At 42.8% G+C, this 25,972-nt stretch overlaps 1 long non-coding RNA gene across 1 annotated transcript in view; it reads left to right on the top strand.

The window, feature by feature from the left end:
* Window positions 1–646: 646 nt before the first annotated feature.
* The window catches only part of LINC01456 (long intergenic non-protein coding RNA 1456), a 134,472-nt gene continuing 109,146 nt past the window's right edge, over window positions 647–25,972 (top strand). Inside the window, exon 1 of the long non-coding RNA NR_133641.1 lies at window positions 647–740. This is a non-coding gene — a long non-coding RNA (long intergenic non-protein coding RNA 1456). The remainder of the gene's footprint in view (window positions 741–25,972) is intronic.

The raw sequence follows: 25,972 nt of genomic DNA, 5'->3' as shown, positions 1-25,972 counted from the left end.
CACCTATGAGTGAGAATATGCGGTGTTTGGTTTTTTGTTCTTGTGATAGTTTACTGAGAATGATGATTTCCAATTTCATCCATGTCCCTACAAAAGACATGAACTCATCATTTTTTATGGCTGCATAGTATTCCATGGTGTATATGTGCCACATTTTCTTAATCCAGTCTATCATTGTTGGACATTTGGGTTGGTTCCAAGTCTTTGCTATTGTGAATAATGCCGCAATAAACATACGTGTGCATGTGTCTTTATAGCAGCATGATTTATAGTCCTTTGGGTATATACCCAGTAATGGGATGGCTGGGTCAAATGGTATTTCTAGTTCTAGATCCCTGAGGAATCGCCACACTGACTTCCACACTGCTCTCTTTAAAGCTGTCAGACAGGGACATTTAAGTCTGCAGAGGTTACTGCTGTCTTTTTGTTTGTCTGTGCCCTGCCCCCAGAGGTGGAGCCTACAGAGGCAGGCAGGCCTCCTTGAGCTGTGGTGGGCTCCACCCAGTTGGAGCTTCCCGGCTGCTTTGTTTACCTAAGCAAGCCTGGGCAATGGCGGGCGCCCCTCCCCCAGCCTCGCTGCCGCCTTGCAGTTTGATCTCAGACTGCTGTGCTAGCAATCAGCGAGACTCCGTGGGAGTAGGACCCTCCGAGCCAGGTGTGGGATATAATCTCGTGGTGCGCCATTTTTCAAGCCCGTCAGAAAAGCGCAGTATTCGGGTGGGAGTGACCCGATTTTCCAGGTGCGTCTGTCACCCCTTTCTTTGACTAGGAAAGGGAACTCCCTGACCCCTTGCGCTTCCCAAGTGAGGCAATGCCTCGCCCTGCTTCGGCTCGCGCACGGTGCGTGCACCCACTGACCTGCACCCACTGTCTGGCACTCCCAAGTGAGATGTACCCGGTACCTCAGGTGGAAATGCAGAAATCACCTGTCTTCTGCGTCGCTCACGCTGGGAGCTGTAGACGGGAGCTGTTCCTATTCGGCCATCTTGGCTCCTCTCGATCCCAAAGATTTTTTAAAAAAATGTTTCACATTTAGGTGCATGATACATTTCTAATTAATTTTCTCTAAGATGTGAGAATTCGGTTGAGGGGATTTTTTTTTTCTTGGCCTTTTGGCTAAGATCAAGTGTAGAACTAGGTTGAGATTTATTTTTTTCTGCATATGGATGTTTAATTGTTCCAATACCATGTGTTGGAAAGGCTGTTTTTCCTATTGAATTACTTTTGCATATTTGTTAAAAAATCAATTGGGCATATTTGTGTGTGTGTATTTCTATATTCTCTATTCTGTTTCATAGATCTATGTGTTTATCCCTCTGTTACTATTACACTGTCTTGGTTACTGTAGCTGTATAGAATGTCATAATATCTGTAGAGTGATTCCTCCCATTTTACTCTTTTTTAAAATTGTTTCTTTTAGCTATTCTAGGTCCTTTGGTTTTTCATATAAATTTTAGAATAACTTTGTCTGTACTATAAAAATCCTTACTGGAATTTTGATAGTCATTGCATTGAACCTATACTTTTCAATTTGGGGAGAATTGACATCTTTACTATGTTGAATCTTTTAGTGCATGATCATGGTTTGTCTCTCCATTTATTTAGGTCTTTGATTTCTCTTAGTAGCATTTTGTAATTTACAGGATACAAATGCTATACATATTTAGAAAAAGATTATACTGAAGTGTTTCATTTTCTTTAGAGTAAGTGTAAAGTTATTGTGCTTCAAAATTTTAGTTTTTATATGCTTATTGTTAGTATATATGAATGTGATTATCTTTATATGTTTATGTTGCATCTGTGACCTTGTTGAATTAACTTATTAGTTCTGGAATTTTTAGGAGTAGATTCTTTAGGATTTTCTATTTAGACAATTATGCCATCTGCAAATAGGGATTGTTTTTCTTTTTCTTGTCAATCTGTCTATATCCTATTTCCTTTTCTTGCTTTATTGTGCTTTTCAGCACAGCATTATGTGGTAAGAGTGAACATCCCTTCTTTGTTCCTAATCTTAGAGGAAAAGCATTCAGTCCTTCACCGTCAAGTATGATTTTAGCTGTAACTCTTTATCAAATTGAGGACATTTTCCTCTGTTCCTAGTTTTCTGAGCACTCTAAAAAATCATGAATGCACCCTGGGCAACATGGTGAAACCCTGTCTCTACAAAAAAAAAAAATATTAGCTAGGTGTGGTGGCACACACCTGTGGTCTCAGCTACTCTGGAGGCTGAGGCGGGAGGAATACCTGAGTCCAGGAGGTCGAGGTTGCAGTGAGCCCTGATCGTGCCATTGTACCCCAGCCAGAATGACAGAGGGAGGCCCTGTCTCAAAAAAATAAAATAAAATAAAAATTATCAATATGTAGAACTTTCAAATGTTAATTATTTTTTTTTCGGTACTTTGAAAGTGATGCTTGGTTGACATCTTGGCTCTGTGTGAAGTTCTGAGAGTATGAGGGCACATCATTTCCCTGGTCAGCTCTATCCCTGGGGTGTGCTGGGAAGACACAGATGAGAGTAGGACTTCTTGTTGGATGGGACTAAGGAAAAATGGAGAGGAGAGATCTTAGGGTCCTGCCAAATGGACTCTGTTACCAAGTTACTCAACGAAAAACATGGTACTGTAAGGGTTATTAGTTTCCTGTTGTTGCTGTAACAAATTACCACAAACTTAGTGGCTTAAAACAACATAAATTCATTCTATTACAGTTCTGGTGGTCAAAAGTCTAAAATCATGGTGTTGGCAGGAATGTGTTCCTTCTGGAGTCTTCGGGGGGAGAATCTATTGCCTTGCCTTTTTCAGCTTCTAGAAGACACTCACATCTCTTGGCTTGTGGTCGTTCCTCCATCTTTAAAACACAACTCCACCCTCTGGTTCCATTGTCACGTATCCTTTTTCTCTCTGACCTTAATTCTGTTGCTCCCTCTTATGTCTACCCTTGTGACTACGTTGGGCCCACCCAAAGAATCCAGGATTATCTCAACATCCTTAACTTAATCACGTCTGCAAAGTCTCTTTGCCATATATGGTAACATATTTATAGGTTCTCCGGAGTAGGACATGGGCATCTTTGGTGGGGGTGGTGGATGGGGGGATTATTTATTCTACCACACGGGGTGACTATGGGCATGATGAGGTATTTTAAAGAGCAAGGCTTTGGAGTTAGACAGACCGTGGTTTGACTTCCCACTCCAGCTTTAACAAGCTGTGTGACTTGCAGAGAATTATTTAATCTGGCTAAAACTTTATTCATCTGCAAAACTGTAATCCCTTTGCTTGTCTGCAAAACTGTGGTGGAAATGACAGCTGTTTGTCAAAAATTTACACCCCCTTCTGTAGTATACAGTTGTGGCTAGGGAGCAACTTTTCCAGGCAGGCAGTACATTTCTTAGTATCATTTGCCTCTAGGTAGGGCCCAAATGAGACTGGTTCTCACTCATCATATGTGGCTGGAAGTGATCACTGCTGGGCTAAAGTACCTATGAAGTAGGTGTGTATTCTTTATGCTCTCTTCTCCCATCTTTTGGCTCCATACTAACTCCCGGGTGACTTTGGAAGCCTAATGAGGAAGATGAAAAAGCTTTCATCAGCTTGTGTCTCTGAATAACTGTGTGAAGCAGAGTCCATTTAACGCAGACTCCTGCGTTAGGCTCTATGAGCTAGAAATACATTTCTATTGTGTTAAGCTACTGAAAACTTAGGCTTATTCATTTCAGCAGCTAGCAATACATCTGTCTTGCAGGGTATTATTATCCCCTGGGGCTATACAATGAAATCACGTGTGTAAAACCCATGTCACCATGATAAGAAACTAAGGGACTCAGAGATTGGAAAGCCGTCAACTCTTCTGCCTAGAGCAGTGGTTCTCAAACTTGAACATGCATCAGCATCCCCAAAGGGCTTGTTAAAACAGATGCTGGGCCCACCTCAAGAGTTTATGATTCTGGGTTGGGACTCCTGGTGTTACTGGAAAGGGGTCCTGATTCAGACCCTAAGAGAGGGTTCCTGGATCTTGCGCAAGAAAGAATTCGGGGCGAGTCCATAGAGTAAGGTGTAAGCAAGGTTATTAGAGAAGTAAAGAGACAAAAGAATGGCTACTTCATAGGCAGAGCAGTGGTATGGGCTGCTTGACTTAGTATACTTACGGTTATTTCTTGATTATATGCTAAACAAGGGGTAGATTATTCATGAGTTTTCTGGGAAAGGAACAGGGAATTCCTGGAACTGAGGGTTTCTCCACCTTTTAAACCATTTACGGTAATTTCTGGATGTTGCCATAGCATTTCAAAACTGTCATGGCACTGGTGGGAGGGTGTTTTAGCACGCTAATGCCTTTTAATTAGAGTATAATGAGCAGTGAGGACCACCAGACCTCACTTTTGTCACCATCTTGGTTTTGGTGGGTTTTAGCTGTCGTCGTCTTCTTCTTCTTCTTCTTCTTCTTCTTCTTCTTCTTCTTCTTCTTCTTCTTCTTCTTCTTCTTCTTTCTTCTTCTTCTTCATCTTCTTCTTCCTCTTCCTCTTCTTCCTCTTCCTCTTCCTCTTCTTCTTCTTCTTTCTTCTTCCTGTTTTATTTAACTGAGATAATTTTATTTTATTTCATTTAAAAATTACAGGCTCAAGCCTGTAATCCCAGCACTTTGGGAGGCTGAGGCGGGTGGATCACCTGAGGTCAGGAGTTTGAGACCAGCCTGGCCAACATGGTGAAACCCCATCTCTACTAAAAATACAAAAATTAGCCAGGTGTAGTGGCGCGTGCCTGTAGTACCAGCTACTCAGGAAGCTGAGGCAGGAGAATCACTTGAACCAGGGAGGTGGAGGTTGCAGTGAGCAGGGATCGCACCACTGCACTCTAGCCTGGGCAATAAAGCAAGACTCCATCTCAAAACAAAAATAACTATTTTTAAAATTAAAATTTAAATTTTTAACTTTTATTTTAGGTTTGGGGGTACACATGTAGGTTTGTTAGATAGGTAAACTCATATCACGGGGGTTTGTTGTACAGATTATTTCATCACCCAGGTATTAACCCAGTAGTTATTGTTTCTGCTCCTCTCCCTCCTCCCACCTTCCACCCTCAAGTAGACCCCAGTGTGTGTTGTTCCCTTCTTTGTGTCCATGTGTTCTCATCATTTAGCTCTCACTTGTACGTGAGAACATGCAGTATTTGCTTTTCTGTTTCTGCGTTAGTTTGCTAAGGATAATAGCCTCCAGCTCCATCCACGTTCCTGTCTTTATGGTAGAATGATTTATATTCCTCTTCTTTATGGCATCCTGTTTTATCAGCAGGATCTTTGTGACCTGTATCTTGTGCTGACTTCCTATGTCATCTTGTGACTAAGAATGCCTAACCTCTTGGGAATGCAGCCCAGCAGGTCTCAGCCTCATTTTACCCAGACCCTAATCAAGACGGAGTTGCTCTGGTTCAAACGCCTCTGACACTGGCACCCTGTATTATTTCGCTTTAGGCTTAGCTCTCTTGCTTGTCTTTTCTGCATGACTGTGACCTACATGTAGGCAGGCACTAGTGTTAGACCTAGTCTAACTTGTTGGTAACTTCATTCCCAGAACCAGCATAGTACCTGGCAAATAGAAGACCCTCAACAATACTGGAGGAAAGAAAAAGGAACAAGTTTAACATCCTCAGCTTCAAGGGTTGAAATAGATACAGTAAGCTTCAGTTAAAGGGTTTAAAGATTTCCTCATTCCTAAATAGGCTTGCTTGGGCTTCTTTGCTTCTCCACCACCCTGTTAAGATGAGAAGTTGCAGCGGTAATTTGTTACCTGTTAACTTTCGCTGGTATCTCTTGGAAGAGCTTCTGGGATTGATCAAATAGCTTGCATCCATTCTATCTAGCCAAATTTATTTTGCTTTCGCATTCTGGGGCTTCAGTTGATCATGCAGGAGGATTTCATTTCAGAGAGCTGCTGCCCATTTGAGAAAGTACATGAAATAGATTTTCTCTCAGCGGGGCTTCCCTGCAGAATATAAAGCAAGGCGTTCGCAGCAATCAACCCTCAGTTCTCCAGGGCTGGCCCCACATGGAGGCTGAGGAGGTAGCCTTCTTCTGGGGTGAGAGGAGGTCAGGGAGGGGCCGCAGCCTCGGAAGTAGCTATTAAAAAGCAAATGTTATCTAGAAAAGAGGGAGAGGGGTTCCAAAGAGACAAATTGTGTGTACTTGGCAATTTTGCCTGTGGCAGACTCTGAACTCCGTCTCTCTGTGAAGTGAAAAGTTTGGCATTAGCAATTCCAAAGAGTCGTTCCGATTTCAGCAGCTGAAAGTGGACTGGGGGCAGGAGGGTTGGCAGTGGACGCCGCGGGAGTTGCTGTCAGAGTTCCCGGGCAGCCTGCATGCTTTCATCCAGGCTGGTGGCCGCGGGAACAGTGTGGGAATGCCAGCAGCAATGGGGAGGCACCAGGGAGGAGGGCGGGAGGCTGCTGCTGTCCCGGCAATGAACAGCGGCCCGCCCCCTACCCCCTGCAACCACGAACTCTGACAAGGCAGAGGGGGCCTTCCTAGATCACCACCCACTTGGGTTGCATTTAGAGGCCCGAGCTATATCTGATTTCAATTTCTTGGGCTAATTTATACCCCACTATAAACAAACTCTTGTAAAAGTTGAAAACCAGCAAGGATAAAGAAGCTGTATTTTCATTATAGTTGTTTTTCTTCTGATGGGTTTCTGAAGTGAGTTTTCCAATAGCAGAGACCCCAAATTTTTGGCCTCTGGAGATCTGAAAGGTGCTATATTGGGGAGGAGGTGAGGGGGGCAATTCAGCAAGAGCTGGTGCTTGGCTCTGTGCTGGGGTCTTTCACTAGCATTGAATCAGGGGAAGGGGGAAGTTTTGCCCCTCTTTTCCCCAGGGCCTTAAAGTTTGACAGAAATTCACAGAATGGTGCAATGTGGGAAAATGTAAACATGTTTATAAAAGTCGTCTGTGTGGCCAGGCTAAGTCTCAAACTCCAGTCAGTTGCTACCTAAATCTCTTTGTTAAGCTGATGTTTCCAGATCAAGCTATTTTGTAATTCTAGCTTTTTATTTTACTTTGGGCATTTGGGGTGATTTGGTGTTTTAAGTGTTAATTTTCTGAAAGCTCCATTTTCTCCACTTCAAATTGTTGCTAACTTGGGATCCAGTATGATATTTATTAACCTCAAGTAAACTGCTAAGAGGAGCCTGATCCGGGATTGTCTTCATCCTTTTGTGTTTTGTTTTTATTTTCTAATTTTCATTTCAGAACTTTCAGAATTGGTTTTCCCACCTTTTCAGTGCTAGATCTGCCAATGGTTTAGTTCATTTGTAAGTTCAGTTCTTTATGTCACCATCTAGTGTTCACTGATGTCTTGTAATTGCGGGGGATTTGTGTCTCAAAAGCTTAAAATGAGTTGGCTGTGCTTTAATTCCAAGTTCTTTCTTTCAGACATGGTAGTAAAAATGAGAGGTTACTAAGTAAACATTACTTTTAACATATATATGTAAGTGGATTCTGTGTTTATGATTGCTGCGGGATTACCTTTAAATGTTCTCTTTCAGTCTCTAGTCAAAAGTAGTTTATAAATAGTTGCTGTGGATTTGGCTCCTTAAAAATATTCCAGTAGAAACAGATTATTTTTAATTCTAAAGTTTATGCCAGTAGCAATTTGCCACAGGAATAGATTCTTATGGGGGCGCTGAATGCACATTTGAGTTCACACAAAATCTATGAATAAGTTAGAAAAGTTGGCTGGGTGCAGTGGCTCATGCCTGTAATCCAAGCCCCTTAGGAGGCTGAGGTGGGAGAATTGCTTGAGAGGGGGAGTTTGTGGCTGCGGTCTAAGATCGCATCACTGCACTCCAGCCTGGGTGACAGAGTGAGACAATGCCTATTTAAAAAAAAAAAAGATAGGGAAGTCGAGGGTCAGTGAGTGTCTGTTCTGCCTCTGGCTCTTTTCTCCCACCCAGTATACCCATCACTCACTTGTAGATAAAGACAAATCAAAAGCTGTTTGCAGTCCTTTTTCGGGGCCTTTTTCACTTGTTTCTGAGTTGCCAGATCTGAAGCTTAAAGCTGGTCCTGGCCCTTCCTGGAGCTTCACCCCTGATTCTGACTACCCATGCCCAGCCGGCTGTAGAAGGAAGCTGAGCCTGAGTCTGGCCCCTCAATTAGGGGTTAGTCACTTGGGTAGTGCCTCAATTCGTGCAGAAGAAGGCTGTTATGGACCAAGTTGTGTTCCCTCCCTCTCTAAATCCATAGGCTGATGCCCTAACCCCGAATGTGACTGCATTTGGAGATAGTGCTTTTGAGGAGGTGATGGAAGTTAAACAAGGTCATAAGGGTGGGGCCATTACGACTGGTGTCCTTATAAGAAAAGGAAGAGACACCAGAGCTCTCTCTCCACTTTCCTCTATGCACAGAGGAAAGGCCATGTGAGCGCACAAGAAGGCGGTCGTCTATAAGACAGGAAGAGAGCTCTCATCAGAAACTGAATTTGCTGGCACTTTAATCATGGATTTCTACTCTCCAGAACTGTGAGAAAATTAATGTCTGTTGTTTAAGCCATATGGTCTATAGTATTTTGTTATGGCAGCCTGTGCTGACTAATACAGGTGCATAGACCCTTTTCCCAAAAGAATAGGCTGCCGGGGAATTTCTGGTTAGGAAATAGCAGTCACAAGGGCCTAGGCTATTGGAATGCAGACCCTTATTGCTATGGCCACAGCCCAAGGGAGTGTCAAGAAAACCCATTTGTTGGGCCTGAACAGCCAGGGAGAGGTCTAGGCCACCTGTGGTTCAGAGAGATGGACTCAGGGCCATCCTAAGGAGATATATGACCTTACTGTAAGATTTCAGGGCAAGTGTAAAGAACTATTATATTTGATGATAGAGAAAAACCGTGGAAAATAGGATATATTTATATAGTAACTGCTTCCAGCTAGGGATGTTTGAAAAGAGTGTCTAATGTATTTTTAAGGATGTTAATGTCAGAGGGGTTTGAACCAGAGCAACTCCTTCTTGAATAGGGGCTGGGTAAAATGAGGCTGATACCTACTGGGCTGCATTCCCAGACAGTTAAGCCATTCTAAGTCACAGGATGAGATAGGAGTTTGGCACAAAACACAAGTCATAAAGACCTTGCTGATAAAACAGGTTGCAGTAAAGAAGCTGGCTCAAACCCACCAAAATCAAGATGACAACGAGAGTGTCCTCTGGTCGTCCTCACTGCTACAGGAAGTTACTCTATATGGTCTAAAAAGAGGAGACATGAATAATCCACTCCTTGTTTAGCATATCATCAAGAAATAACCATAAAAATGGGCAACCAGCAGACCTCAGGGCTGCTCTGTCTATGGAGTAGCCATTCTTTATTCCTTTACTTTCCTAATAAACTTGCTTTCACTTTACTCTATGAACTCATCCTGAATTCTTTCTTGCATGAGATCCAAGAACCCTCTCTTGGGGTCCGGATCGGGACCCCTTCCTGGTAACATTAACTTTTGGCTGGCTGGAATATTTCATTACAAAAGTATGTTCTTGGACCTTGCTACTCAAGGGAAGATCCGTGAGCAGCATTGGCGTCCTCTGGAAGCTTGTTAGAAAATGCAGGGTCCCAGACCCTGTACCTGCCCTACTGACTCAGAATCTGCATTTTTAATAAATTCCCCAGGTGGTTTCTATGCACATTAAAGTCTGAACATCAGGTGGTGCTGATCTCGGTTACAGGTCACTAGTTTTGTTTTACCTGGCAGGATTCTGTAAGTAAATGAAGTGGCGTTGCCAGATGCAAGGGAGAGGCAGTAGAGCTGAGTGACAGTTGCTGGTACTGTGCAGTTGTCCCTTCGTGGGCCTTGTTTATAGTGGGGCTTCAAATGGTCAATACTGAGAAAGGAGTCATGGGCCTGGAAACAGGAAATGGCTAAGGTCAGGCACGAGATGCTAGAAAGACAGTAAGGCAAAGCTAAGTCATCGGACTCTAGGTAAGCACAAATGAGGAGCTTTGAATGTGAGAAACAAGGTTTTTGGGACAAATCCAGAATCAACGTTTGCCATAAGCAGAGAGAGTAGAAAGGGAATTGATAAGGTTATGTTGGTAAATATTGGTGGACAGTTTTTGTTTACATGGATTCCCTTTTGAAGGCTCAGGGTTCTGAAAGGTCTCTGATGGCCTTAAAGGCACAGAAGTCTGAACCTGATTGAGTCATTCTATTAAACAAGGTGGGTGTAGGACCAGAGAATCTGGGTTTGATGTGCCAAGGTTGATGCCAGGTCGAAAAACCAGGAGAAGGGTGAGCTTGGTGGAGTTGGGTAGAAACAGAGGCATGAAAACAGGAGGTCACACAGCGTTGAAAACAAGGTAAAGGAAGATAGGCCAAAAGCCTTGCATGTGGGGCTCACTGAACCCCAGTCTAGCGTGAGCAGGGCCAAAGGCAGGAAGAAATACTGCCTGCATCTGGAAGAAATCTGCTTGCCATCACTGGGTTCAGGAAACCCAGTGTCGGAGACAATTAGAGGAAGCTACAGAAGTTACAGGGGAGCCCAGAAGCAAATGGACAAAAGCCCGAGTTATTGGCCTACCTGCATCAAAGGTCCTACACCCTTAAAGTGCCGGAAGGTACCAAATTCCTGGGAGGGAATAAAACTTCATGGGTACTGAAATTAGAAAGATAATTATGCACTAGGGATGACATCAATGTCACTCCTGGTCACACTGTTTTTCTTCTCCATTTCTGAAAGCTACATAGCATATCACCTTGCTACTGAAAGAATGGTTGAGGACCAGCAACACCAGCATCATCTGGTTGTCAGTAGTGCAAAATCTCAGGTCCCACCCCAGACCTAGTGCATCATAATCTGCATTTTTAACTGGAACCTTGGGTTATGGTTATTCCTTTGCACTTTAAATTTAGAGAAGTACCAGCTTATTGCTTAGCACACAGAGATCCTGGACATCTGAATTTGAAATCTGCTCTGCCAACAATTTCCTGTTTATGGAACTCTAAGTCTATTACCTGGCTCTAGAGAGTGACTTATTTTCTTATAGGGCAGTGGTTCTTTACTTTGGCTGCTCATGAAAGTAACTTGAAGAGCTTCTTAAAATACAGATGACCAAACCCCACCTTGGATCAATTCAATCAGTTCAGTTGATCTGGAGTGGGGCCCAGGCATCAGCATTTTTAAATGCTCCTCAAGTGATTCCAATGTACAGCCTGTTGAAAACCTGGGATCTAGAGTAAGAGGGAAGAGAAGGCAGCAGAGGGGTATCTCTGTTGAAAGGGGGAAGTGAGAGTTCCAGAGACCTCAAAGTGGCCAGCAGGAAAAGGATCCTGCATCTTGAGGATCAGGAGTTCAGTGGAGAGGGCTCATTGCTAAGCATTCCTCAAATGTGAATGCCCCCCAGCAACCCACTGACCAAGTGTCCTGGGCTCTTGTCCTCAAAATGGCAGGTTGTGGTTGTTGGTGACAATGAGGCGTGAAGGGGAAGCCTTTACTCCAAAGCAAGGGGAACCTGATTAGAATCAGTTGGAAGCCCACCACCACTACTGTCATAAAAGATTTGGGAGAGACATCATCAAGATGGCTGAGTAGGGGTGCCCAACATTCACCCTTTCCACAAAGAAGGACGAAAAGAACAAGTAGATAATCACATATGGAATACAGCATCTAGGGGAGAACAATGGAATTCAACAAGGAAATGACAAAGACCCTCTGAGGCATGGAAACTTGGGATGGCAGCATAGAGAGGAAAGTGAAGCACCTGGCTAGCATCTGCTCTGAGCCAAGAGGGACTCCCCATTGCAGGGAAAAAGTAAGTGGGAGATCTCCAGTAGTCCACATTCCCTCCACATACACCTGCAATCCCAGCTTTAGGAGAGCCCCACAATCCTCACAGGCCCTGAGCCCAGTGTAGGGGCTGCCTGGAGTCCATGCGGCTGCATTACTCCAGAAAGGGAATTCACACTGGGGCCCCTCCCCACCCCACTCCCCAGGACCCAGGCTGCTGTAAGCACAATGCCATTTTGAGGATGGAGTCACTGCTGGAGTGCTTGGGGTCCCAATAGCTCCTGCATCTTCACATCCCTGGAGCCACAATGTCATCCTAACACACTCACACAAAGAAATTGAAAAGGACACAAAAAATGGAAATACACTCCATGTTCATGGATTGGAAGAATGAATATCGTCAAAACAATCATACTGCCCAAAATGATCTACAGATTCAATGTAATCTCTATCAAAATACTGAGGTCGTTTTTCACAGAAATAGAAAAAACATCTTAAAATTTGTATAGAACCACAAAAGACCCTGATTACCCAAAGCAACCCTGAGCAAAAAGAAGAAAGCTGGAGGCATCACACTGCCTGACTTCAAAATATACTACAAAGCTATAGTAACCAAAACATCATGGTATAAAAACAGATATAGACCCATGGAACAGTATAGAGAGTCCAGAAATAAATCCCCCATATACAGCCAACTGATTTTCAATAAAGGCACCAAGAACATATGTTGGGGAAAGGACAGTCTCTTCAATAAGTAGTGCTGGGAAAACTGGATATTCATATACAGAAGAATGAAACTAGGACCCTATCTCTAACCATATACAAAAATCAATTCAAAATAGACTAAAGACTTAAATGTAAGTCCCAAAACTATAAAACTACTAGAAGAAAACATAGGGGAAATGCTTCAGGACATTGGTCTGGGCAAAGATTTTTATGGCTAAGACTTTAAAAGCACAGGCAGCAAAAGCAAAAATAGGCAAATAGGATTATATCAAACTAAAAAGTTTCTGTACAGCAAAGAAAACAACAGAGTGAAGAGACAACTCCTTGAATGGGAGAAAATATTTGCAAGATATTCATCTGACAAGGAATTAATATCCAGAATATGCAAGGAGCTAAAACAATTCAACAGTGGAAAAACAAATAATGCAATTAAAAAATGGGCAAATGATCTGAATAGATATTTCTCAAAAGAAGACATACAAATGGCCAAGAAGTATATGAAAAAATGCTCAGTATCACTAATTTTTATGGAAATGTAAATCAAAATCACAATGAGATACTATGTCACCCCAGTTAGAATGGCTACTATCAAAGACAAAAAATAACAAATACCAGCAAAGATGTAGAGAAAAGAGAACTCATATACTATCGGTGGGGATGCGATGATGTGACTGGGTTAGGATAGTGGCCAAGGAGATCTGGATCATGGAAAGGTCAGGGACTTGTCCAAATCCAGGCTCTACCTTACCTCCCTCTTCCCTGCAGATTAGGTGAACCCCAGGGGATGGCTCAGCCCATCAAGGCCAGAAGCTTCTTAAGGGCCTGTCTATCCATGCTCTATGGCTGAGTGGCAGGTTAGCCTTACAGCTTGCCATCTAGACTTGACCTGGTGTCCTTTGTCTGGTTTTTGGCCTAGTTTCCTCTCCCAGTATGCTGAATCCTGCTCAGGATTTCTGCTGCCTCTTAGGACTGGAGCTCTACTTTGTTTGTATTTGTCTTCCCAGTTTCTTCACTCCCTTCCCTGGCATGGCACCCTATTTAGATCAAATAAAGAAATATATGTACAGAAACTGCAAATTGTCCCCCAATAGCCACTCTCCCTTTCTTCTGAAACCATAAAGCTCCTGATTTTTAGTTAGGTATTCTGTGTCTTAGTCCATTTTGTTCTGCTATAGCAGAATACTCAAGACTGGATAATTTATAATAAATAGAAGTTTATTTGGCTCATGGTTTTGGAGGCTGGGAAGTCCAAGAGTCATGGTGTCAGCAACTGGTGAGGGCCTTTGTGCTGTCATCCCATGGTGGAAACTGGAAGGGCAGAGTGTGAGAGTGAAAGAATGGGAGGGGGCCACATTCACTTCTCTAACAAACCCACTTTTGTGATGACTAACTCATTCCCAAGATAATGACATTAATCCATTATTGATCACCTCTTATAGTTCCCACCTCTCCACATTGTTGCATTGGAGATTAAGTTTCCAACAAATGAACTTTGGAAGACATATTCTAATAGCATTCCATGACACTAGGTGTGGCCATATAACTAAGTTCCGGCCTATGGGATATGAGTAAAAAAGATGTATCCTTCTTCCCACTTGCAGGGATGTGGGCCTAGGGAGGAGTCACCAAAGAGATGAAGCCTAGGCCCTTGATGACTTCATTAAGTGGAGCCATCACACCAATTTGGACTTTTATGTGAATCAGAAATAAACATCTGTCTTGTTTAGGCCACTGTCCTTTGGACCCTGTTTTGGATGCAACTGAAGTCATTTCTTCCCCAATAGGGTTGTAGTCATGTTATAATCTTTTCTGAATGCCTATATGTGTTAGACACTTCTACAAGTTTGAGATCACAATGCACTAAAGTCCTGAGGTAGACTAATCACCCCATATTTATCGATGATGACTTAGTCTCAAGTGTCAATGAAAGGATCTGAGATTTCACCAAAGTCTGTGTGACCCCAAATCCGTGACCTTTCTGCACTAAGCCTCATAGCAGGTGATACAAATTCAGGTGTTTTTAATTTTATTAAATATATAACAGTGAGTAGAAGCCAAATGGAAATTTGGATTTGCAAAAGGAAATCTGGGCTCTAAGAAGGCAACTAGAGCAATGTATGTCAAGCTTGAATGTGCAAATGAATCTTCTAGGGATGATCCGTTCCTACCCAAAAACACACGAGGAAAAGCAAAGAATGTGAAAGCCCAATCTCTTTAGCTCCTGGAATTGGCCTGAGCAGCCAATAGCTAATAATAAACCCTTGTGTTCTAATATTAGTATAACTTTACAGAATCTCCTGGGATGAAGTTAGTCTGAGTGGATACGTGTCAAGCAGGGGCTCTCAAATTGTGGTCCCTGAACCAGCAGCAACAGCATCACTGGGAACTTACTGAAATTGCTGATTATCAGGCTCCACCCCAGACCCACTGAATCAGAAACTCTAGGGTTGAGGTGGAGGGGTCTTGGGATTTCTCCAGGGGATTCTGATGTGTGCTGAAATTTAAGAAACACTGGTGTGGAAGAAAAAGCTTGGGAAGAGGCAATTAACAACATAATGGAATAAAAGCCTTCAGCTGGAAATTGGAAAATCTACAGTCCAGTCCTAGCTGTCTCCTTGTTCATAAAATGGAGATGAGAGCACTGACTTCACTAAGTAATTTGCAGAATTAAACACAATGCTGTTTTTGAGAGGCAACATAACAGTGGTTAAGAGCACAGATTCTAGAGAACAGTCTGGCTTCAAATACTGGCTCTCAGTTATTAGATGGACAAATCACTCCTTTGTTATCTGTTAAAGTGAGGGGTAATAACAGCATACGTATCTCGTATGGTTGCAAGGGTGAAATGAGTTAACAACGTTTGTAAAGCACTTAGAAGAGTGTCAGGCAACAAGTGCCATATAAGTGTTTGTTAAATTATATATCTATGTGCCTCTATCTATTTATTTATCTATCATCTATCTATCTATCTATCCATCTATCTATCTAATCTATCTGTCTATCTATCATGCTTGGTACATGCAGTGACTATTCAGAAAGTATCTTTTATTTGAGAAAGAAAATGGAGCAAACAGGGATGAATAAGAAGAGGTTGTTAACTGCCAGAGGTCTAGAGAACACCCCCCTTCCCACAGGAACCCCTATCCCCACTCCCAAGGGGCCTCTCCCAGTGCAACCTGGAGGTGTGTAAGAATTTTCTGTCTGCCATGGTGTGATTCAGCATTTGGTGGAAATTGTCTCCTGGAGGAACTGGCATCTCTGCAAAAGGTCCATTCAGACTTAAGAATGTAGAAACCTGGCCAGTGCAGCTGAAGGTAGCTCTGCCATTTCTCCAGGGGACTTAGTGGATTCTGGGGACCTCATGGGGGTTAAGATCACAAGGGACTCCCATCAGAGGAGCTGGAGGAATGAGGGGCTGGTGCTGTATAAAATGCAGCTCTGTTAAAATTTCTATTTTTTTAAAAACAATTGTATTGAGGCATATTTTACACACAAAAATCACCCATTTTAAGAGCACAACTTAGTGATTTAAAAAACATTTACCAAGTTGTGCAACCATCATTATAATCCAGTTTTAGACCATTTCCAGCACCCACAGAAGATCTCTCATGCCTGTTTACAATTTAACCTATTTTCCCACTCCCAGCCTGAGGCAATCACCAATCTACCTTCTGTCTCTGTAGATTTGCCTATTCTGGACGTTTAATAGAAATGGAGTCATACAATATGTGGTCTTTTGGATCTGGCTTCTTTCACTCAGCATAATGTTATTTCTGAAATTCATTCATGTTCTCTAGCATGTATCATTTTATTCCCTCCTATTATTGAATAGCTTTCTGTTGTTACAGCTGTACCACATTTTGTCTATCCATTCACCAGTTGGATATTTGGGTTGTTTCCACATTTTTGGCTATCGTGAATAATGGTGCTATGAACATTTACATGCAAATCTTTGTGTGGACATATGTTTTCATTTCTCTTGGGTAGATTCCTAGGAGAGGAATTGCTGGGTCATAAGGTAAATTTAGGTTTCAAGTTTAAATAAACTAATGAACTGTTTTCCATTTCACATTCTCACCAGTAACATATGAGGGTTCCAGTTTCTCCATATTCTCACCAACATTTGTCATTGTCTTTTTTTTTTTAAATTATAGCCATTTTAGTGGGATGTGAAATACTATCTCATTGTGGTGTCAATATGCATTTTCCTGATGACTAATGATGTTGAGCATCTTTTGAAATGTGCTTATTTGCCATTCATGTATCTTCTTTGCTGAAATGTCTACCCAAATATATAAAATTTTGGGTTTAATAGTAGATATCATGTGGCTACCACCTTATTCTGCCCTTGGGTACTCAGGCAGGAGGACTATCTCCAAGGTGAGCTGGAGTCCCTGAGACTGGCGGTAGACCAGGGTTTCCAGGAGGCTAACACACTCCTGCATCGGCCACTTTCAACCTTTTCACCTGAGGATTAAGGAGCAATTCTATAAACTCCTGAACTAGAGAAAAGGTGCATTCTTTAAAATACATGCTTGATTTGTTTTTTTTCTGTGAATTATATTTTTCCTTTTCCTATTTTAAAGAAAGTTAATCTTCTGTAAAAAACAATCACGAAGCTAAGGTTGGATTTATTTAGCTGTTATTAAGATACGTGTGTATTTTAGAAAATGGAGATTTCTGTTGTTTTTAAATTTATGCCATTGTTTTCCTTTATTTTCATTTGTGTGAGTCTGATTAACAAATGATGCCACTAAGAAGGACCCTACCACTATCTTGGATGAGGAATATAGATGGCATGTAGTGAGTAAAAATAAATTTCTGACTACCAAGTAGCAGTAGATCATTAGTGGGATGGCACATCGAGCTAATGGCATTAGAGATAATGGAGAAGGGGGTGAGGAATGGGAGCCAACATGTTTCCTAGAGCTTCAAAGTATGGCCCTGATAGGCTCGGCCGGAAAGCCTGTATTACTGAAAAGCCCAAACCACTCCCTAGTGCTTGTGGAGAATCACCACAGAGTTTACCTCTGAGCTGGACCCTGAGGTCTGATGGCTAGCCCTTCCAGAATGGCCAGTGGCATATTCTAGCAATATTTCTGTGAAATCTGGCCAACTCAGGCGTAGGGGAGGGACCATTCTTGTGGTAGGGGGAGGGATCATGATTCCAAGAGCTACTGCTACCAGGAGGATGCTACTGCTACCATTGTTGTTATTTTTTATGTTGTTGCTGTTGTTTTGTTTTCTTCTTCTTCTTTTTTGAGACATAGTCTCACTCGGTCACCCAGGCTGGAATGCAGTAGTGCGATCACAGCTCACTGCAGCCTTGACCTCCCTGGGCTCAGGTGATCCTCCCCCCTCAGCCTCCCAAGTACCTGAGACCATGAGGTTTCAACAAGGTTTCACCATGTTGCCTAGGCTAGTCTCGAATTCCTGGGCTCAAGTGATCTGCCAGCCTCAGCCTCCCAAAGTGCTGGGATTATAGGCATGTGCCACTGGGCCCAGCCACCATTGTTTTTTTGTGTTAAAACTATCTTCAGTTTAACCAATGATGGCCACTGGTCAGCAGAAAGACACAGGAAGGATGACATAGAAATAGACTGAGGGGTGCTATAGGCCAGATTTCCTCTTTATTCCATCCATCTTGCCCTAAAGGTGGCAATGGATATCCTTCAATGGAACACAAAGGACTGGACCCCAGCCACAAGGGCTATACACATAACTTGGTTTATTTATTTAAAAAATAAACATGGTAATAATAATTATGTAGTAGAATTGATGTGAGATAAAATGTATGCATTGTGCCAGAAGAAAGTAGGCACTCAGTAAACAGGCTGTTATTATGCTGTGCTGACATGTGTTGAGTGTTTAACTTGTAAGCCACAAAGAGCACATAGTTGCAGATTTTCCATCCTATTGATTAATTCGTTGATTGAGGCATTTCCTCAACCCACATTTAAAAATGTCTACTTTGTAGCAACAATATTTCTGGGTGCAGAGAATGCAAAGATGCACGAAACAGTGTCTCTATCCTCAAGTTGTTAAAAATTAGTTGGGAAGTTAATTCTAGAAGACTGTGTCAATGACTCTGACAGACGGTTGAAAAAAGTACCATTGGGGGACAGAAAAGGAAGTGATTCATTGTACCTGGGGACAAGGAGGGAGCAAGAGTCATGGAAGATAGTCCAAAAAATGTGATATTTGAGCTGGGCTTTGAAGGATAGATAGGAGTTCACTAGGTAGCGATGGCAGGGAGAATATTTTTAGTAGATGAAATAGGAAATAGCATGGACCTAGTCACAAGAGTATGTATTTGGAGAACTTTAAATATCCAACTATTATAGAGTGGGCATAGGTTTGGGTGGTAGCAGGGTTGGGAGGGTATGAACTGGAAATATATTTCGGGGTGAGATTTCACAAGGCCCTAAATGGCATTTTAAGGACTTTAAGCTAAACACTGCAGGTAAAAAGAAAACAGAATGGCTTAGGAGTGGCATAACTATTTTCCCAAATTCATAATTTTTTTTTCAACTTGCTGGGCACAAGTCAGCTACTAAACATATCCCAGTTGTCCAATCTCTTTAGGAAAAAATGACTTATAGAAGGAGAAATCCAAAATTTAATAGGAAACATGGTAGATCACCTGACCTCTGGCCAATGATAAAAACAAAATCCCATTACAATAAACACCATTATAAAGACTGCTTACTACAAAGCTATTTCTAGGCAGATGGCTCAGAAACACCATACTCTTTTTATCTAGTCAAAATAACTTATGTACGATGGATAACCCAGTGCAATAAATTCTTTGTTCCCTGTGCTTATAACGATCTCTTTCTATAGGGAAGGTAACTGCTGTTATACCACAGGCAGGAAGAGGAGGCTGAGTTGAACTGTAGCTGAACTCCATTTAATTTTTCTCTGTAGCTATCAATCCCCAACTATTCCTTGACTCCCTTTACCATCTCCTCCACAAAAATTCCAATCCCTTCATCCAGAAAAGCTCATTGAGACTCCCAATCCACCCACCTAACTTCTCAAACAAAACACTTTAACCCCGAATATCTGGAGCTCAAAAAAGGAAACCCTATTGCTCGACAAATATGGTGGATTCTGGGCATCTGAAGATTCAACAACTACCATTCCAACTCTTTGTGAGTGACCCTGACAGTCATTTCTATTTTTGGTGGGGCATGAATTTCAGGCACCACAGCAAGCCTCTTACTAAGGGAAGTCCAGCCGACTGCTAGCATTTTTTTCTCAAGGTGGCTTTGTTTTCTTTGCTTGTCACATACATGTTCTTGCTCAGGAAGTTATATTTTGCTGCATTTGATGAAGGATGCTATGTTCCAGGGAAATTAACCAATTTGGAAATTCAAGAAGGTCTGATGGTTAAATACCTTAGGAATGTTAAAGACCTATTCTGCTTCTTAACACTTGCCAATAGTGAGTAGGCATATGGTCCTTATCAGTGTGTGTATTAGTCCATTTTCATACTGCTATGAAGAAATACCCAAGACTGGGTAATTTATAAAGAAAAAGAGGTTTAATAGATTCACAGTTCCACATAGCTGGGGAAGCCTCACAATCATGGCAGAAGGTGAAGGAAGAGCAAAGGCACGTCTTACATGGCGGCAGTGTGTCCGGAATTGGTGGGTTCTTGGTCTCACTGACTTCAAGAATGAAGCCGCGGACCCTCGTGGTGAGTGTTACAGCTCTTAAGGTGGCGCGTCTGGAGTCTGCCCCTTCTGATGTTCAGATGTGTTTGGAGTTTCTTCCTTCTGGTGGGTTCGTGGTCTCGCTGGCTCAGGAGTGAAGCTGCAGACCTTCGCGGTGAGTGTTACAGCTCTTAAGGCAGTGCGTCTGGAGTTGTTCGTTCCTCCCGGTGGGCTCGTGGTCTCGTTGGGCTCAGGAGTGAAGCTGCAGATCTTCGCCGTGAGTGTTACAACTCATAAAAGCAGCGTGGACCCAAAGAGTGAGCAGTAGCAAGATTTATTGCAAAGAGCGAAACAACAAAGCTTCCACAGTGTGGAAGGGGACCCAAGTGGGTTGCCAATGCTGGCTCGGGCAGCCTGCTTTTATTCTCTTATCTGGCCCCACCCACATCCTGCTGATTGGTAGAGCCGAGTGGCCTGTTTTGTCATGGCGCTGATTGGTGCATTTACAATCCCAGAGCTAGATACAAAGGTTCTCCATGTCCCCAACAGATTAGTTAGATACAGAGTTTCGACACACAGGTTCTCCAAGGCCCACCAGAGCAGCTAGATACAGAGTGTCGACCGGTGCACTCACAAACCTTGAGCTAAACCAGGGTGCTGATTGGTGTGTTTACAAACCTTGAGCTAGATACAGAGTGCTGATTGGTGTATTTACAATCCTTGAGCTAGAGGTAAAGACTCTCCACGTCCTCACCAGAGCAGCTAGATACAGAGTGTCGATTGGTGCACTCACAAACCTTGAGCTAAACACAGGGTGCTGATTGGTGTATTTACAATCCCTGAGCTAGATATAAAGACTCTCCACGTCCCCACCAGACTCAGGAGCCCAGCTGGCTTCACCTAGTGGATCCCACACTGGGGCTGCAGGTGGAGCTGCCTGCCAGTCCTGCGCTGTGTGCTCGCATTCCTCAGCCCTTGGGTGGTCGATGGGACTGAGCGCCGTGGAGCAGGGGGTGGTGCTCGTCAGGGAGGCTCGGGCCGCACAGGAGCCCATGGAGGCGGTGGGAGGCTCAGGCATGGCGGGCTGCAGGTCCCGAGCCCTGCCCCGTGGGAAGGCAGCTAAGGCCCGGCGAGAAATCGAGCACAGCGCCGGTGGGCCAGCACTGCTGGGGGACTCAGTACACCCTCCGCAGCCACTGGCCCGGGTGCTAAGTCCCCCATTGCCCGGGGCCAGCAGGGCTGGCTGGCTGCTCCGAGTGCGGTGCCCGCCAAGCCCACGCCCACCCGGAACTCCAGCTGGCCCGCAAGCGCCGCACGCAGCCCCGGTTCCCGCTCGTGCCTCTCCCTCCACACCTCCCTGCAAGCTGAGGGAGTGGGTTCCGGCCTTGGCCAGCCCAGAAAGGGGCTCCCACAGTGCAGTGGGGGGCTGAAGGGCTCCTCAAATGCCACCAAAGTGGGAGCCCAGGCAGGGGAGTTGCCCAGAGCAAGCGAGGGCTCTGAGGACTGCCATCACACTGTCACCTCTCAGCAGGAAAGTTCGTGTGCAGGGGAACTGCCCTTTACAAAACCATAAGATCTCATGAGACGTATTCACTAACACAAGAACAGCACGGGAAAAACTCACCCCCATGATTCAATTACCTCCCACCAGGTCCCTCCCACAACACGTGGGGGTTATGGGAGCTAAAATGTAAGATGAGATTTGGGTGGGGTCAGTGTGTGTTTTTTTAATCCTTATTTTTGAAAATAAAATTTCAAACTCATAGAAAAATGGCAGGAACAGTATCATGAACTTCCATAAGCTTTCACCTAGATGTACCTATTAACATTTTTCAGAAGATAAGACAATTATGAGTCAAAGTAATAAGTGAGACAGGGTATTGGTTAGTCTAACAGACTCCTGAATCTCACTCTATGTGTATGCACATTGTTGTGTATTATTATTATTATTATTTACAGAACCATTTGAGGTTAACTTGCAGACATCATGACTTTTTACCTCTAAATATTTCAGTATGTAATGGCATACTTTTACAAACCCACAGTGCAATTATCCAATTCTGGAAATTGAGCATTGATACACTACCATTAACTAGTAGCACATCCATATTGAAATTTTGCTGATTGTTTCAATACTATCCTTTAGAGCAATGAAAAAACTATCCATGTCCCAACCTAGGATAAAGCATTGCATTCAGTTGTAATGTTTTTAGTCCTCTTTACTCTGGAACAGCTCCTCGGTCTGTCTTTGTTTTTCATGACATTGATTTATCTTGAAGAGTATAGTCTCATTATTTCATAGAATGTTCCTTGTTTTGGGTTTGTCTAATACTTCCTTAAGATTGGATTCAGGTTATGCATTGTGGGCCGGAACTTTACTTGGATTTTAATTTTTATTCTTGTTAATTAAGAATGTGGCTTTCAAATAGTATAGTCATTATTAAAAAATTCTCCTGCAGCTAAATATCAAGCATGGGTTCCAAGGAGACCCATGTTAGTGGAATTTTTCCCCCACCCCCTTGGGAACACAGATTATGAAAATCACTTCAAAGGGAGCTAATTTGGAGAAGTCAACAAAACAAACAGTCCTCCTGGTGGGTTGGTTCCTTCCCATGTTGCCAGTCTGTCCATGGAGAGCCTTTGTGCTCCAGTATTTTCCTTTTGCCTCACCACACTGCTGTCCCTCAGTAAAGCATCTGAAAGTCAGCAATGGAAGGAGTGTGAAGACTTGGAATGACATTTACCAGCAGAAAGCTGGAGGTGGCTCACGTTACTAAATCTTTATTACTTTTGCAAAACACATCACAAAATATAATAAATAGTTCACATTAAGCTGCACCTATCAAAACATGTCAAGTTCACTTTGTGATATAGCATCGTTGACTTGGATTGTTGCTAATTCTCAATTATTCATTAAATGGACATGGATGCTACCCTCTCCCTAACATTAGTGAGAATTCAAGCACTTTCAGTGATTCAAATGTGAAGTGCTAAGCCTCAGAAAATGAGATGTGGAGACAAAATAAGCTTAAATATGTATCTCTTCCTTTCTTCTTTCATCCAGCAAAATGCTATTGAGAAACTACTTTATATCAGGCGCTGTGCTAAGTACGGGGGTTTCGGGGATTAAAGGCCTAGTCCTTGACCTCAAGGAGCATTTATTAGAACCTGAGATTTGGACCCAAAAGCCAGAGCCAACATTTTCTTCTTGCTTAATGGCATCACTTCACATTTTGTCCTAGTTTAGGTGGTGATAAGGCAGAATCCACTTGGTAATGTTGTGACTCCTGCTTCAGACCGTTGGCTCAAAGTGGCTGTCATCATATATAGGTGTGTCCCTGAGCCTCCCCAAGAGCTAAGAAGTACTTTTTCCACAATAGTACATGCCATTATGGTGTCTTCAACCTGCTATCAACCTTTTAAGCCTGCATTCTTACAACTTTCAATGGTTTTCAATCCCTTTCCATATTAAGGTCTGTAAGGGGTCATGGGCTTTGATTGTGCCATGTACATCTGTTAATTCATTAAAAATCCGTTGCAGTGTGAACATAGTATAATAGAAATCACGGTGGACTTGGATTCGGGTGATGTGGGTGAGATTGGCTAATATTCCCCACTCCTGTGTTCTATTCTTGGGCACACAGCTAGACACCATTTTCCAGGCTCTCTTGTGGCTAGGTGTGGCCATGTCACTGAGTTCTGGCCAACAGAATCTAAGCACAAATATCTATCGCTTCTAGGCCTGCCTCACAGAAACCTGCCACATGTGTCCTGCCACTTTTGCTTCATGCAGACAAACCACGTGTTAATGATGGAGCCACAAGATGCCATGTACCTGTCTTTGTGAGTCACCATGTGGACCCCCAATTTCCCCCCAATGAATAGGGACCCACGTATTGGATTATTCCAGAACCAAGAAATAAATGTCTCCTATGTGTTAAGTCACTGAGATTTTGATGTCTGTTACAGTAGTCATAAATACTCTGTCCCATCAATAACTTTGACTTTTGTCTTACCTGCTATTTACCCTTGGGCAAGTCACTTAACCTCTCATCTTCTCTATAACCTTCTCTGTCAATGGGGGTAATAAGATAAGCATTCTTGGCCCCATTTTACAGATGAAAGGATTAAATGCGGTAACATTTGCAAAAATACTTTGTAAACGATTACACAAATAGAAGGTGGTGGTATTATTATTGGATCTTGTCCCTCACAGTAGCTAATAGAACATTTTCCATTGAGGAATCTCAATTCCTTTTCAAACCAGCAATATTTTCTGCTAAATGTGTAGCTGGAGCTGGTCCTGGATCACCTGAATTTCTCAGGCCATATAAATTGGGGCGAGGAATACTCAGACTTTGCCAAATCCCTCTGACATGTCAGTTTCAGGACTATGCCCACCTAGTCCAGGCCACTGACTGCTCCTTACAGTCTCAGGTGATGTCCCAGATGTCTCAGAACTTGATATACTGACCAACTAATTCCTATGGTCATCTAGGGCCCCACCATAGGTGTCAAAACGATGAGTTTTCCAAGCCTTTCCTGTTTTCCCAAAAGTCACATGATAATAACAAATGTAATATTGAGTGCCCACTATGTGCCAAATTGCATGCATTATCCCAGGTCATCTTCACAACCACTGCAGGAAGGAAGTGCCTATTAGTCCCATTTTGCAGATGATAAAACTGAGGTGTATGAAATTTGCTCAAAGTCAATTAGAGTAGATGGATTAATATTTATGTTTCTAAAAGATCTATGCTCTTAACCTCTGTGTGTCCAATTGTTAACTCTGCCTCACAGCCCAGCATTGCCCATTCCCTTCTAAGAGTCTCACTGCTGAGAAAGCCAAATCTCATTATAGGAGAAAAGGATGTTACTTTTTAAAGGACCCAGCAGCAAACATCTCTTTGCATGCTTCAAATGGACATTAATAATGGACATCATTCCTGCTCATTTTTCTCCAAATTTATTATTTATTTATCTAATTCAATGCACCTTAATTTGCCTGCAAGTCATATTAATGTGATTGTTTAAAATGATAAGGACCCTCTGAGGGAAAGTGAACATCAACAGTGTAACATCAATATTCAGTGTCTGAGAGCAAGTACAGGGGCGAGTGGTGTTTCTACTTCAATAGGTGCCTGTCTCTTTGTTGGGTCACAGACCTTAATCCACCCCAAAGTGCTTGTCAACATAGTGCACGAAGGAGATGCCTGGGAAGTTTCCTGCTCTACCAGTTGTAATTACATGAAAAATAAATGGAAAAATTGGGTTATTTTGCTCGCTACCTGACAGGGACTTAACATCCCAGATTGTATGGCCAATATGTGTTGAACCAATATCCCATGGATCTTTCTATACTGACTCCCAGCTTTTGACCTATCTCCTGTGGAAGTTGAGGAATTTGGCTACCAAACAAGTATGTTATGTGTTATTAAGGACAGGCAATATGTGACAATTTGTACTTACGGAATGTATAAAGTCAGGAGTTAAGTAGGTCTTGGTTAGTTGAACTCTTGAAATTTCAAAAAGTTCAAGTCTCCCTGAAATTTGGAGGGGCTGAGTCTTATCTGAATGACTTTGTTATCATCAAATGATTCAATTCATGAAGGAGGGGACCCTTCTTATGGCACAATATCTGAATTTATCATTGAAGTTAACAGGAAGGCAGTATTTGATCAGCCAATACTTCATGTACGTCCCCTCTAATCTTCCAACCCCTCTGCAGCCTAGGCCTTCTTAGCTCCATCCTATAGATCAAGAAGTTACAGTAAGCAGACCTAATTACGTTAAAGTGTCAGACCCAGGGTTTGAAGTCAAATGGTCTTG

This window comes from Homo sapiens, chromosome X (genome assembly GCF_000001405.40).
Source record: "Homo sapiens chromosome X, GRCh38.p14 Primary Assembly".
Taxonomy (NCBI): domain Eukaryota; kingdom Metazoa; phylum Chordata; class Mammalia; order Primates; family Hominidae; genus Homo; species Homo sapiens.
Note: the sequence above shows the minus strand (reverse complement) of the source record. Positions and strands in the feature narration are given on the sequence as shown.